At 54.4% G+C, this 14,386-nt stretch overlaps 1 protein-coding gene across 1 annotated transcript, besides 4 other annotated features; it reads left to right on the top strand.

Annotated features, from left to right (window-relative positions):
* Positions 7,080 to 7,662: an enhancer, noted in NCBI's record as "H3K4me1 hESC enhancer chr17:48072293-48072875 (GRCh37/hg19 assembly coordinates)". NCBI's record gives its function as "activates a minimal SCP1, AML or CMV promoter by ChIP-STARR-seq in naive H9 embryonic stem cells {active_cell/tissue: H9 hESC(naive)}" and the evidence as "EXISTENCE:reporter gene assay evidence [ECO:0000049][PMID:30033119]".
* On the top strand, positions 7,367 to 12,586 carry DLX3 (distal-less homeobox 3). The gene is made up of 3 exons (NM_005220.3): positions 7,367 to 7,917; positions 9,001 to 9,191; positions 10,727 to 12,586. The coding sequence occupies exons 1-3, from the start codon at positions 7,593 to 7,595 to the stop codon at positions 11,072 to 11,074; spliced, it is 864 nt and encodes a 287-aa protein (NP_005211.1). The 5' UTR covers positions 7,367 to 7,592; the 3' UTR covers positions 11,075 to 12,586.
* Positions 8,736 to 8,785: a silencer, noted in NCBI's record as "silent region_8677". NCBI's record gives its function as "represses an Ori minimal core promoter by ATAC-STARR-seq in GM12878 lymphoblastoid cells {active_cell/tissue: GM12878}" and the evidence as "EXISTENCE:reporter gene assay evidence [ECO:0000049][PMID:35858748]".
* Positions 12,457 to 12,956: an enhancer, noted in NCBI's record as "H3K4me1 hESC enhancer chr17:48066999-48067498 (GRCh37/hg19 assembly coordinates)". NCBI's record gives its function as "activates a minimal SCP1, AML or CMV promoter by ChIP-STARR-seq in naive H9 embryonic stem cells {active_cell/tissue: H9 hESC(naive)}" and the evidence as "EXISTENCE:reporter gene assay evidence [ECO:0000049][PMID:30033119]".
* Positions 12,957 to 13,458: an enhancer, noted in NCBI's record as "H3K4me1 hESC enhancer chr17:48066497-48066998 (GRCh37/hg19 assembly coordinates)". NCBI's record gives its function as "activates a minimal SCP1, AML or CMV promoter by ChIP-STARR-seq in naive H9 embryonic stem cells {active_cell/tissue: H9 hESC(naive)}" and the evidence as "EXISTENCE:reporter gene assay evidence [ECO:0000049][PMID:30033119]".

Here is a 14,386-nt window from a genome sequence, read left to right as displayed (position 1 = left end):
AATCCTCCTACCTTACCCTCCTGAGTAGCTAAAACTACAGGTGTATGCCATCACACCTAGCTAATTTTTTTTACTTTTCGTAGAGATAGGGTTTCACTATGTTGACCAGGCTGGTCTCGAACTTCTGGGCTCAAGCAATTCTCTTGCCTCTGCCTCCCAAAGTGCTGAGATTACAGGCATGAGCCACTGCACCTTGCCAGAATTTTCTACATAGATATCATGTTATCTGTGAACAAAGGCAATACATTTCTTCCCTCTCAATCTCTCTCTCTCTCTCTCCCTCTGTGTGTGTGCGTGCGTGCGCATACACACATTTTTTTTTCTTTTGAGACAGGATCTCACTCTGTCACCAAGGCAGGCATGCAGTGGTGTGATCATGGCTCACTGTAGCCTCAAACTCCTGGGCTCTAGCCATCCTTCCACCTCAGCCTCCTGAGTAGCTGGGGACTGCCCCTGTCTAATTTTTTTCATTTCCTTTTTTGTAGAGATGGGATCTTACTGTGTTGCTCAGGCTGGTCTCTAACTCCTGGGCTCAAGCAGTCCTCCTACCTCAGCCTCCCAAAGTGCTGGGATCACAGGTGTGAGCCACCACAGCCAGCTAATTTTTGTTTTTTGTTTTGTTTTGTTTTGTTTTGTAGAGATGCAGTTCTGCCATGTTCTTGGCCTCCCAAGTACAATTCTTTTTACTCTGAGATGTTTCAAACATATAGAAAAGTACAGAGGGTAGTATAAAAAACACCCACATGGCCAGTGCCTAGCTCCGTCAAATTACCTTCTGACTGCTAAACCTGCAAGCTGAATGCCTGCCCCATAGAGGTTAACAGACTGCCTGGGCTCAAATCCTAAATCCACTTACTTAGCTTCCTGTGCCTCAGTTCCCTCCTCTGTCAAAAGACAGACATGAGAGTGCCCATCTCATAGGGTTGGGAGCAGTGAATGAACTCATATATGTAGATGGCTTCGAGCAGTGCCTGGCACACAGTGAGCACTCAATGAAAGCCAGCTTTTATCAGTTCATCTTCTCTCTTGACTCAACGGAATAGATAATAATCTGCTATAAGGCCAACCCCTTTGGAGAAGTTCCAGATCCTTCCCCTCCCACCTACTCAGGGATGGCACTCGTGATTAACCCTTCTCTACTGGAGGTGATAATTGGCATCTAAACATGCTGCTCCCATTTCAAACACACACCCTCCCAATATGCCAAATACCCTCCAGCTACCGCCCTCTGCCTCCCTCCTCCTTTCACAGCCATCAGGACAGAGTGGCTGGCACGTGTTCTCTTCACTGCCTCGCATCCCACTGGCCCCTCAGCCAGCTGTGAACCGCTTCCAGCTCCCCACTCCCCTTACCCGCTCTTCCTGATATCATCAACCTCCTCCTTGAGACATTGCCCAGTAGGCGCATCTCAGTCCTCACCCCACCCTGACTACAAATCCACAGCAAGATTTGACCTTGCCGACTACTCTCTCCTCCTTGAACCCTCCCCCCAGCTCTCCCCACACCCAATTCAGGGTACACTCTCTCTGCACTGCTTCCCACCTCCCTCTGACCCCTCTCTCACAGGTGCTGCCTGGACCTTTGCCCCGTGTTCTCTCCCTCCTTTCCTGGACCATCTCACCCATGCCAATGGCTCCACTTACCGCAAGAAGCCAGATACTCACAATTTACATCTCCAATCCCAGCTTCTTTACTGATTTTTCAGATCCATGTTGCTAACTATGGCTAGGACTGCTCTTCCTAGATGTCTCAAAGACACTCAAACTCAGCATGATCACACTTAAGCTGATGGCACAACCACTTTGGAGAACTGCTTGGCAGCCTCTTCTAAAGCCAAACATGTGCCCACCTGGTGGCACACAATTCCACCCATAGGTACCCAACAACAGCATAGATGCAGGCACCAAAAGACATGTACAAGAATGCTCATAGCAGCACTGCTCATGATAGTCCCAAACTGGAAACTACCCAAATGCCCATCAACAGTAGAAGAGAAAAATAGATAACGATATATTCATATGAGAAAATATCCACATTACAGCAATGAAAATGAACAATCTATAAATATAGCCAACAATATGGATAAATCTCACAACATAATGTTGAGCAAAAGAAGCCAAACATAAAAGAATACAGCCCTCCCTTGTTCGTGGGAGATTGGTTCTAAGACCTTCCTCGGATACCAAAATCTGTGGATGCTCAAGTCCCTGATATAAAATGGAGTAGTATTTGCAGATAACCTATGCACATCTTCCCATATATTTTAAATTATCTCTAGATTACTTGTAATACCAAATAAAATGTAATTGTTATTTAAGTAATTATTATGCTATATTATTTAGGGAATAATGACAAGAAAAAAAGTCTATATGTGTCCAAGCACAGATGCAATTATTTTGCTGAATAATTTCGATCCAAGGTTGGATGAATCCATGGATGCACAGCCCATGGATATGGAAGAGGGCTGACTGTATATACTATACACTTCCGTTTATATAAAAGTAAAAAACATGCAAACCTGATCTGCGGTGCTAGGAGCAGAGACAGTGTTTACTCTCAGGGAGTAGGAACTGGAAGGGAGAGTGAGGGGGCTTCTGAGGGTTGGATATTGCTTCCTCAATACCTGCTGCTCAGCCTGGGTGCTGGTTGCACAGCTATGTTTGATTGATGCAAAGCCTTTAATTAGGACTTGTGCACTTTTCTGCAGGTATGTTAGATTCCAGTGGGGGGAAAAAACGGACACATTCTTTTCCTCATCAAGCGTCTCCTCTTGCTGGTGTTCTCTTTATTTCGAGAACGGCCCCAACTTTCCACCCAGTTGCCCAAATCAGAAGCTCAGGGGTCATTCCCCCCCTTCCCTTCTCCCTGCCATTCATACCCAGTCCATTCCCCAGCCCTGTCCCTCTGACCTCCTCAATGGCTCTCAAATCCACCCACTGCTCTCCACTTCTACCCACTTCTCTTCTCTCTGGCATTGGCCACACTGCCTCTGCCTTAACCCAGACTTGATTCCCTTTGCTTGAGCTTCTGCAGTAGTCTCATATCTGGGCCCCTCGCCCTCAGTCTTATCACTTCTGATTCGTCTCCACACAGCTGCCAGAGGGATCCTTCTAGAATGAAAACCCAATCATGATCCTCCCCTGGTTAAAATCTTTCAGTGGTTCCCTGTAGCTTCTAAGTAAAGCCCATTCTCCTGCTTCAGGCTTCCAACTGCTCTGAGTCCTGGGTCCCTGCTTCACCTTTAGTACCCCCCAACCACCCCCACAAATACTGTGCTTCACCCTTGAGAGACAAGAGTCCTAGAGTCTACAATCACGGAGCATCAGAGTTTGGATGGCCCACAGAGGCCATCTAAGAACCCACTTTTTGATTTACATATGAGAAAACCCAAGGGAAAGCGCCCCTGGCTGGACAAAGGTGGGTGGAGGAGGGGGAGGTGGCACTTTCCAAGGGCCGGGAAGCCTCTCCTTTCCCTCATCCCTGTTTTTCCAAGCCAAGTCCCACACATCCTTCACTTCTTATTTCAGATATCCTCCTGCCCCCTGAAGGGTTCAGGCCCCCTTAGGCTGGCACGGCGGCAAGTGCTGCCCCATCACAGCACACATCACATGATGGCGAAGCTGTCGTTAAGTGTCCGCACCCCCTGCTGGAACGTGGGCTCCATCGAGAGGGGCCTGGTCTGTCTTGTTCATCACTACATCCCCAGCACCTAGCATGGGATCAGATACATAGCAGAGACTCAGCAAAGATCTGTTGAATGAACGAAGGACTCTGGAAGTAAGTCCAGGCTGCAAAATGCTGGAAGCTTGGGGTGTATCTCCAAGGGAGTTAGTGAGAAGGTCGAGGAGTTCGCCCGTGAGAGACGAGAGTCCTAGAATTTACAATCACGGAGCATCCGAGCTTGGACGGACCTCAGAGGTCATCTAAGAATCCAGTTTTTTATTTACAAATGAGAAAACCAAGGGAAAGAGCCACTGGCTGTTCAAAGGGGGTGAGAGGAGGGAGAGGTGGCAGCCAAAGAGTAACACAAGGTGATGATGAAAAGTGAATATTTAGTGCCAATAGGGCTCCTCAAGTAAGTAAATTCCTTCTGGGCACGATGGCCCTGCCCCTGCAGGTGACCCACTTCCGGGTCTTCCCAGTGGAGCTAAGCAGGCTCTTTCTTACAATCACCACTAGATGGCGCCACTCCCCAAGGCAATGGAGAAAGCAGGGTCAGCCCACCAGTGCTCGGTCCTCCCTGAGGCCTCTCTCTGAGCCCCACTGCTGTGCCAGTGCCCAGGTGGCATGATGCCTGGGTTCCAGGGAATAGCTTGCTTCAACAGGGTACCTTTTCTCAGTGCTAGAGACAGGGTGGGCAATGGACTGTGACCTTGGCATTGGCTGGCACTGCCCTTTCTCCCTCCTACCAGACTCCCAGAGGCCCCTGACACAGGCCGCCCCACGTCACCCCTCCACCAGAGGCAGGACTCGGCCAGGCTGACACCTGCTCGTCTTGTTGGCCCGGGCAAGGTGGGGTGGGTGGCTGTGGTCCCACTGCATCCTCCGGCTACCTCGCCATCCTAAGCTAACAGGTGCCCGCCCAGCAGTTGGTGGCTCCGGTCCTGCCGGCCTGACGAGACCCTTGGGGCCTTCCCCTACCCTGCAGCCCAGTGCCTGCCCCATGCTTCCCGCTGTCCTGACTCTGCCCAGCATGTCTGAGCCTCAGCCAGGGGTCCACGGGAGCAGTGCCAAGATGATTCAGCCCTTCTTCAGCATTAGGAAGCTTCATTTATTCATTCAACAATGGGTCCTGGGTATCTGGAAGGCAGTGGTGAAGTGGATGGACCCACTCTGGCATCTTGGAGCATGTCATGCAATGGGGGTAGGGGAACATGTGTCAACCTCACAATAGCAAACAATGGTTTAATTGCTTATTTAAGTTCCTACTGTTGCAGTTTCTATGAACTATGAACCATTTCGAGAGCTCTTAGAATTCCAGAGCATAGTGGAGCTTAGAAATTATCCTAGTATAATCCACCACCACTGCCCTTTCAAGATTCCAGGATTCCAGAATTCAGCCTAGGGCTCATTCTCTTTACTCAGGAGCCAAGGCTTGGGGTAGGAGTGAGGAAAGAAGAGTGAGGCTTCTGTGAGGGCCTGAGGAGGGAGGGAGGTAGACTCCCAGCTCTGAGTCGCCTGCCACTTCTTGATCTCGGTTGATGAATGAATGAATGAATGGATGAACCCCTGAGAAGGGCTCGCCCCACGCTGTCTGTTCTCTGAGGCAGCTGCAGTTAGCGAAAACAGAGGGCACAGTCTGCGGGGCGGGGCAGGGGGAGCTCCAAAGCAGGCCCTGAACGCCTCCCCCGCTCCCATCCTGGGAGGGAGCCGGCCCGCCCAGTGCCCTTCCTGCCCCCAACGCCGCAGGCTCTCTTGGCGCCCTCTTGGCAGCAGAACAGAGGGCACCCGGAGCGGGTGGCAACTCGCCCCGCCACGGGCTCGGAGCGGCGGGCGCTGGGCGCTGGGGGGACGCGGAGATAGACAGACAGATAGCGCTCCCCTCGCCCGCCCCCGCCCCCACCTTTCCCACGCGGCGGCCTCCGGGAGTGGCCCAGACCAAGCGGGCACTCACCCCTGCCCCTCAGTCCGCGGACCGTGCCCTCTGTTTCTGCCAACTGCAGCTCTCAAAGCCCTTTGGACTGCCGGAAGCCTGCTGCGCGAGTCTGACTTTGGAAAGGGGCATACAGCCCCCTGTACACTGCTCTGCCAGGCAGGGTCTTCGGAGGAAACCCCTCCCCGAGGCTTGGCCGGGCGCCGGGCTCGGGGAGCTGCAGAGCTCGAAGGAACCACGAGGTGGCGCGCTAGCACTGCGTTCGCCCGGCGAGGCAGGGCGAGTGGACGTGGGGTCGACGGAGCGAGCCGGGCAGGCTGGGAACTGAGATTTGGATTCTCTCCCCCAGAGAAAGGCGAAGGGCAAAATGGGGTGTGGGAGGCAGGGATGAGCTAGACGTTGGGAACAGCTAGCATGACCTAGGGGGCCCAGCTTGGTGGGCTAGACAGGACTAAAAGCTGGGGGTCCCCACAGAGGGGAGCCATTCTTCAGGGCTTTTCTGGTGCAGGAGGAATTCAGTGGAGCAGTACAGCTCCCAGCTACTGGAGATGAGGAAGGTACTAAGCGGTCTAGACACATCTGCCTACAACCACATGTTCACACGCGGATGGCCCTCCACTCATGCTGCCTGCACCCCGCCCCCGACACACTCCTGCATGCATGTACCTCTGTGGATACTGTGGAACACATGAAATCCTCACATCACACACCCCAAATACACTCGTCCCATGCACCCAGTCCCCAAAAGTGTCCCAATTCCCCAGTGCTGTCCCATGATACACAAAATCTGCCCTCAGACTTACTGAAGCACACAGTCACAGAGCCAGCCTGTGTCCACCCAACCTCGTGGGGACCCCAGGTCCCTTGCTACCTTCAGCAAGACTGGGCCATCTGTGAAACTGCACATACATAGCTTTGGAGATAGTTCTGGTATCACCGGACAGGCTGTACATCCCCAACAACCTCTAAATCCACACAGGTCTGCTTCCCCTTCTCCAATAGGATCCTCCTAGTGCTAAATTATGTCTTTCATAGGCTCAAGACATTCTTGCCCGGTGGGCACCTTCCTAAATAAAAAGAAAATTTTTTAAATTACGTTTTTGTAATTATGTAATACAAGGATATAATAGCAATGACTGCATTGCTATTAAGATAATATATTAATATCATATATTCAAACATTCTCTTTCACCTAAAAGGTGTTTTCCTTTTCTTCTGATTTTAAGAGAAACCATTTTCAGGGGCTGTGAGTCCTCACCACTTTGGGTACATTTGTGTGCCTGTCATTTGCACAGTGCGTGCACACGTGTGCACACACACACAACCATACCCCACCTTAGACCATCTCTTTCCACAAACACACAATGGGCAAACTCCCCTCCTTGCCCACCTCACCTAAGCCCATCTCTCATCCCCCAGCCAGAGAAACAGACTGACAGATCCTGGGGGCTCCACAGAGCAACCCTTCCCCTCCACCTCCACGCCCCTCCTTCAGAGAACTTATCTGGGCTGGAGCTACAAGAGTAGCGAGGGTGTGTGTGTGTGTGTGTGTGTGTGTGTGTGTTTTGAGTAACAACAAAGACTGGGGAAAAAGAAGAGAGAGGAGGGAGGAGAGAAGGAAAAGGGAGAGAGAGAGAGAGAGGAGAGCATAGGAGCGAGAGAGCAAAAGCGTGTTTTGCCTGGAAGGCAAGACTTGCAGCCAATCAGCGCGTAGGAGCCTCCCTCGGCGACTCCACTATTGAGTCTATAACCGGCTGGCCGGGCGGAGCTGGCAGCATTTGATTGTGGCTTGGGACGCGAGGAGAGGCGCGCAGCGACCGCCTGACGGCAGGCAATGGTGTAAGCGCCTCTCGGCCTCCCCCTCCCCCCAGACGCGGCCGGGTCCTCCCTTCGCCTTCTGGACACACACCCCTGCCTCGTCTCTTCCGCCTCTCTCGCACTCCGGTCCGTTCCTGTCCTCTGCGGAGGCCAGCCCTGGGGAGGTGCAGCGCCCGCCAGGATGAGTGGCTCCTTCGATCGCAAGCTCAGCAGCATCCTCACCGACATCTCCAGCTCCCTTAGCTGCCATGCGGGCTCCAAGGACTCGCCTACCCTGCCCGAGTCTTCTGTCACTGACCTGGGCTACTACAGCGCTCCCCAGCACGATTACTACTCGGGCCAGCCCTATGGCCAGACGGTGAACCCCTACACCTACCACCACCAATTCAATCTCAATGGGCTTGCAGGCACGGGCGCTTACTCGCCCAAGTCGGAATATACCTACGGAGCCTCCTACCGGCAATACGGGGCGTATCGGGAGCAGCCGCTGCCAGCCCAGGACCCAGGTGAGGGCCACGGGGTCGCGAGGACAGTGGGAGACACTGGAAGGTTCCCGAGGGAGGAAAAGGCATGGACTGGAAGCCAAAATCTAGGAAAACTTCTAAGAAAAGTACTGTCTGGAGTTAGAGAAGTTGGCCTAGATGACCCTCAGAGGGACCAGGCGACCTTCCAGCCCCGGGTGTGCAAGCATTTGGGGCGCGATGTGCGCAGTGCGCCGCGGTCCCGGATGAGGATCGGGATGAGCTGAGAGAGGAAGGGGAAGGCTGTGGGTTGTTAGGAAACCTCCGAATCGAGGTGATTTCGTGGGCATTTCAGCAGGCGATCCTCGATCAAGTCGCAGAGGGCTTGGGGGTAGGCGGCAGGGGCTGGAAACTCTAGGGGCCCTCCTTTGGATAAGGGATGGGGAGACTAGGAGTCGTGAGGGGGCAATGAGAAGGACCCACGGAAGTTGCGGGAAAGCGGAGGGAAGCAGCCACCGAGAGGCAGAGAAGCTGAAAAAGGGAAAAGTGAAGGCAGCAAGAGGGAAGTATGGAAAGACAGTGAGAGAAAGGGCAGAAGAAACAAGAAAGGAAGGAGAGAAGGAAGGGGGGAAGAAGGGGGACAGGGAAAGAAAGAAAGTCTGCACTATCCTTGCAACTTTTCTGAAAATCTAAAGAGATTCTAAAATGAAACTTTTTTAAAGGGCGGGGGGCGGACGGGAAGGAGCGAGAGAAACAACCGACGGCGAGATGGGACTGGGAAGGGGGCGGCTAGCAGCCGGGCGGCGAGGAGCCCCGAGGCTGGGAGGCGAGCCGGGAAGGCGTCGTGAGCGAAGCCGAGGCGGTCCTGGCGCAGGCGGCGGCTGGCGCCGGGGACAGTGCTGCGGCGGCCGGGCGCGGAGCTGGGAGCGCCGCGTTGTGGGCCGCGGCCAGTTCTGGCTCTGGGGCCGCGGCTCCCCCCTGGGCCGCGGGCAGCGGAGCGCGCGGCCGGGAATCCCGCGGCGAGTCGGTGGGCGGAAGCGAGGGGCGTCCGGCGGGGCCCTGGAGGGTCGCAGGAGTCGCAGGCCGAGGCTGAACCGCCCCCTCTTCCGCCCGGTGCGTTCCCCGCAGTGTCGGTGAAGGAGGAGCCGGAAGCAGAGGTGCGCATGGTGAATGGGAAGCCCAAGAAGGTCCGAAAGCCGCGTACGATCTACTCCAGCTACCAGCTGGCCGCCCTGCAGCGCCGCTTCCAGAAGGCCCAGTACCTGGCGCTGCCCGAGCGCGCCGAGCTGGCCGCGCAGCTGGGCCTCACGCAGACACAGGTTGGTGTTTGGCTGTCCAGGGCCGCGGGGGCGCGCGGGACCCCGTAGTTCCCCGCGCGCTGCCGAGCCTGGCTGGCCACTGAAGGGCCCTGCGGGCTCCTGGAACTCTTGCCTTTGGGATGGGGGCCTGCGAGGTTCAACTTCGGTGGGAAGGTTCTGCGTTAGCACGTGTACAAGTGAGCATAGTTGTGAACCCGTGCAACTGTGTATGTTCCCCTACTCCAGAATTCCCAGCTCCCAAGTCCCCCAGCAGTGCTAGTCACTTAGTAGGAGTCCACATCGTGTTTTCCCTCCAGGCTAGGCATGTGTGCAGACTGTCTGTGTGCATGTATAGGCGAGTGTGTTTGCACACATGCTGTGTGGGTCTGCATGCACCGGAGGATGCTCATGTAAGGAGTGTGATCCTGCCGGGGTCATTGTGCATAACGATGGGGGCATGTGTGTGTGACTGTGCGCCCTGAATGTATATGCGTTCTGAATGCATGTTCAGAAATGTGTGCTTGCATCAAAATACCACATTCCTGCTCAGCACTTGAACGCTCAAGAGAGGCCAAATTCCCTACCTGAAGGAGATGGGGACTCAAAAGTGAGTGCCGCACCCCCACCCTCATCCAGTCCCTAAAGCCCCCAGCAGCCTGTCACTGCTCAGGGGAGGAGCAGTGGATGCCTGGCTCCCTCCAGGTGTTGACAGGCGGGCCTAGGTTGTGGCTGTGGCTGCGTGGGGCCCCATCCGCCGGGAATCTGGGTCACCTGGTGAGGAGCTGATTCATTGTTTGTACCAGTCATGGGGTGGGGAGTGGCAGGGGGAGGGGGAGATACCCCAGGGGAAATTTGGGGAATCATGGCTCACCTGCTCCTGAGTCCCCAGGTCACCCCCATTATCCAGCCCGAGCCCAGGAGAACTTCTCCACACCTGAGTGTGTGAATGTGGGTGCTCATGTTGTGGGGTGCTTATCTGGGTGTATCTGTGTCTGCGTGTATTTTTATTGTCTGGTGTCTGTGTGTGAGGCTGTGAGTGGGAACGTGGCTGGGTATGGAGATGTGTATGTGGGTGTGTTTGTCTCTGTGTATCTGTGCACCTCTGCTTATGGGTGTCTAATGTGAATGAAATGCTACAAACCGTCCATCTCCCACCTCAACGGCCTTTTATTGAGTGCTTACTACATACCAGGCTGCTTTAAGTTTTTTATATGTCGTACCTTATTTGAGCCTCAGAATGACCCTATGAGGCAGGTAATAGTGCTGTTCTCATCCCCATTTTGCAGACAAGAGGAAGTCAAGAACAAGAGAGGTTAAACAACTTGCCCAAGGTCACGCTTAGTAAGTGACAGAGCAGAATTTGGACCCAGGCAGCTGAACGTTCCTAGCCACAATTCTATCCCAGATCCAAGAAACTGGGAGTCAGGAGGCCTGTTTTTTGCCTGATTCTTATGTGAAATTGGGTTCTGGCCTTTCTTTTTCTTGGCTAGGTTCTTCCCAGGGTTGTTTTAGCATTCTGAGAGGCTAACTAGCTACCCCTTTCTTCTCTGGCCCAGGTGAAAATCTGGTTCCAGAACCGCCGTTCCAAGTTCAAGAAACTCTACAAGAACGGGGAGGTGCCGCTGGAGCACAGTCCCAATAACAGTGATTCCATGGCCTGCAACTCACCACCATCACCCGCCCTCTGGGACACCTCTTCCCACTCCACTCCGGCCCCTGCCCGCAGTCAGCTGCCCCCGCCGCTCCCATACAGTGCCTCCCCCAGCTACCTGGACGACCCCACCAACTCCTGGTATCACGCACAGAACCTGAGTGGACCCCACTTACAGCAGCAGCCGCCTCAGCCAGCCACCCTGCACCATGCCTCTCCCGGGCCCCCGCCCAACCCTGGGGCTGTGTACTGAGCACCCATCTGGCCTGCACCCTTGACAAAGGACCCCAGGACCAGGCAGAAGGCGCCTCCGTCCTAGCCACTCAGGAATCATCGAGGAGCACAGGGAAAAGGAACTCCCTTTCCCCCTCCCTTGCCCCTTCCTCCAGGGACCCAAGCGCTTCCAGATGACAATTGCATGGACCAAGGATGCCCCCTGAACCTCCCTCCCTCTGCCTAGACACTGGGGTACCCCTCCAGATGTGGGGACATTCCACCCCAGTGGGGACAGCCATTCCCCTACCTGCTCCAGGAGCCTGGATTGGCTTTAAATGGCTCATCATCTTCCAGCTTCTTAAACTTAGTGCCTGTTCCCAGACTGGAGACCTTGGGATGGGGGAGAGTGTGGAGGGTTTGCGGGTCCTGCCTGTGCTGGGGCACCTGGCACCGTGGATCTTAAAACTTGCCAGGCCTAGTTCCTCCTGAGCCTCTGGTGGTCTCCCCCTGCTCGAGCGGCCCCTCGGCCAATAAGACAGTGGACATCATGACGAGGACTCCGGGTGGGGACCTGAACTGGTCACCGCCCTGCACTTCTAGCCCTCATTTAAGATTTGAGGGTGAAACCAAAGAAAACCCCCTAAGTGAGGGAATCTTTTAATATTTGTGGCTTTAGAGGAAAGAACTAAAGGAGCCATCTCTCTCCCCTCTCCTCCGTTCCGAGAGGAGGGGTGGGTCTCAGACGTTTTTCCTATGGACTTATTTCTTCCATGTCCAGGACTTTGCACAACTTTGGTTTTAAAAGCTGTTGAAAAATAGGAAAACAAAGGGCATTGTTCACAGATAGGGCCAAGTCTCCCCTTGCAAGGGTGCCTCTGTTCTGTCCCTGCCCCCACCTCACCTTCTCTACTCCTCCAGTAAGTTGGCAGTTTTGGTGCCAAACCCCAAATCTCCAAAGAGACATACCAGGCAAGACAAACCCCCAAACACCTCCTTTCCGGTGGCCTTGGAAACAGATTGCTCCGAGCTGGAGAATGTCGGGTGAGGTGTATGGGAGAGGAGGGGAGAGTTAGAACTTGTGCCTTTGGGAGTAAGGGGTAACTGCCTGGAGGGCTGGTGGCACTGCCCCTCCCTGACCCAGACATCCCACCAAAGCTAACTTTCCCCCACCCCTGATGCAGTAAAACATTGAAAAAAAAAAAAAAGGAGAGGTAGAAGACTGTAGCTATATATATAAATATATAGTAAGTTTTTTTTTTTTAAGAGCAACAGAGAGAAGCAGCCTCCTCCCTGCTGCGGTTTCCTATTTATGTGGCCATGTTCCTCCTGGACGGATCTCCCTGTGTGTTTCAAGCTGAGAGATGTGGGCTCCGGCTGGATTTGGGTTTTGTGGGAGGTGCAGGGGCCAAGAGAGACGTGGTAGGTCTCCAAGAGTCCCACCCGGGGGGGAAGAAGCAAAGCCATCTCCCACCCCCTCCCAGCCTTCTCATTTCTGCTTTCTTACTGGACTCATCTTTATATATAATGTTAATAAAAAAGACGAAAATAACCACTGAGCTCTTTGAACTGGAGGCTGGTGGCAGCTCTTGTGGGGAGGGTCTGAGAGTTGGGGAAGGTGTCCAGTGAGGAGGCACTTCTGCGCTCTGAGGGAGACGGGGCCCCTAGGAAACCACTACTAAGGTGCTGGGCTGGGCCTGGCCCCTGGTGGCAGGTGCTCCTGAAACCATGGCTGTCCCCAATCTGGGCAGGTCTTTGGGGGAGGCTCCCAGCAGCAGCTTCCCTGACTCCACTGCTTGGCAGCTTGGTGCTCAGAATCAGACAGCTCCCTCTGCACCGCCGCCGGGTCACCTCAGGGCTGGTCTTTGATCTGGAGCTCACATGCAGACATGCTTGCACATGTGTGTAACCCCCTGCCTCCATGCCCAGGCACTCCTGGCCCCTCACCCTCCTGTCTGTCCCTTTCAGCTTGGGGTGAGGGTGGGGCCTCAGTCAGGGGGACACGACTGCTCCCTCAGTGGGGAGGGACCTAGCACTGTGATCCAGGCCTGGTGATGGGGGAGGGGTCTGTGTTTAATTCTCAAGGAGGGCTCAGGCCCTGACTCAGAGCCTTTTCCCTGCCGCCACCCTCCTCTTCTAGGTGCCCAACTCCAAGGCTTTGGAGACGGAGAGCTGGAGGTGGCAGAATGAACGGAGGTGTGTGAGAGTGACACATCTTGGCACAGATGGGAGACAGCGTGAATGCATGCACACGCTTGTGAAGCTACCTCTCTCTCACATGCATGCATCAAGACACACAATGACATCTCCCCATCGTCACACACACATGGACTCCCACTTGAGGCAAACCTGTCATCTGCAGACACATCCACAGACGCAAACACACACCTGAGACATGTTGGCATCACACGAGGTACAAAGCCAAAGCCATAATACTCCAAGAGATGCGGGCTGCCAACACAGGTGCACAGCCACACATCACTCAAGTCACCCTAGCATCAGACACACACACACACACACACACACACACACACACACACACACACACACACAGAAGCAGAGCAGCTCCCTGTAATGGAAAAAGTCAGATAGAAAATCAGTAGCATGGCCACGCATGGTGGCTCACGCCTATAATCCTAGCCCTTTGATAGGCCAAGGTGGGCAGGTCATTTCGGCCTAGGAGCTCGAGACTAGCCTGGGCAACAAGGTGAAACCCCGTCTCTACAAAAAACACAAAAATTAGCCGGGTATGGTGGCATGCACCTGTAGTTCCAGCTACTCAGGAGGCGGAGGTGGGAGGATTGCTTAAGCATGAGAGGTTGAGGCTACAGTGAGAAGTGATCACACCACTGCACTCCAGCCTGGGCGACAGAGCAAGACCCTGAAAAAAAAAAAAAAGGAAAGAACGAGAGAAAGAGAAAGAAGAAAACACTACCCAACAGCTGAGGTGACCCAGCTTAGATAGGAACCTCTGTGTCAAGGCCCTCAGTTTCCCCATCTGTCAAATAGGGATAACGATCCCCACCCTGTTGACCTCTGGGGCTGTTTTGAGGCACACAGCCGACTAAGGATGAGGCAGAAGGAGCGGGTCTCAAGCTCACAGAAGGGATTTGTTGGACGCTCACAGCCACACAGATGGGGGGTCCTCCAGCAGGGCTCCAGAGCTGGGGAGACCCAGCCCTCATCCAGTCCCCTCCCTCTCAGAAGGTAGGCTCTTCCCTCCCCCATGCCCACGGGAGGCGGAAGGGAGGAGGGCCTCCAGCCCACGGATGCCAGCCGGGCTGGCAAGGGTTAAGGTGGCAGCTGCCAGGCAGGGCTGAGCTGAGTAGTTTGGTTTGAGGGCTGCGTGCAG

This window comes from Homo sapiens, chromosome 17 (assembly GCF_000001405.40).
Source record: "Homo sapiens chromosome 17, GRCh38.p14 Primary Assembly".
Lineage (NCBI taxonomy): Eukaryota > Metazoa > Chordata > Mammalia > Primates > Hominidae > Homo > Homo sapiens.
The sequence above is the reverse complement of the archived record's forward strand: the minus strand, read 5'-3'. Positions and strand labels throughout refer to the sequence as shown.

What these genes read in the sequence shown, in the direction of transcription:
- DLX3 (NM_005220.3), top strand. Translation starts at nt 7,593, where the DNA reads ATGAGTGGCTCCTTCGATCGCAAGCTCAGCAGCATCCTCACCGACATC. An exon ending in GCTGCCAGCCCAGGACCCAG is followed by an intron (nt 7,918 to 9,000) that starts GTGAGGGCCACG and finishes CGTTCCCCGCAG; the next exon opens with TGTCGGTGAAGGAGGAGCCG. An exon ending in TGGGCCTCACGCAGACACAG is followed by an intron (nt 9,192 to 10,726) that starts GTTGGTGTTTGG and finishes TCTCTGGCCCAG; the next exon opens with GTGAAAATCTGGTTCCAGAA.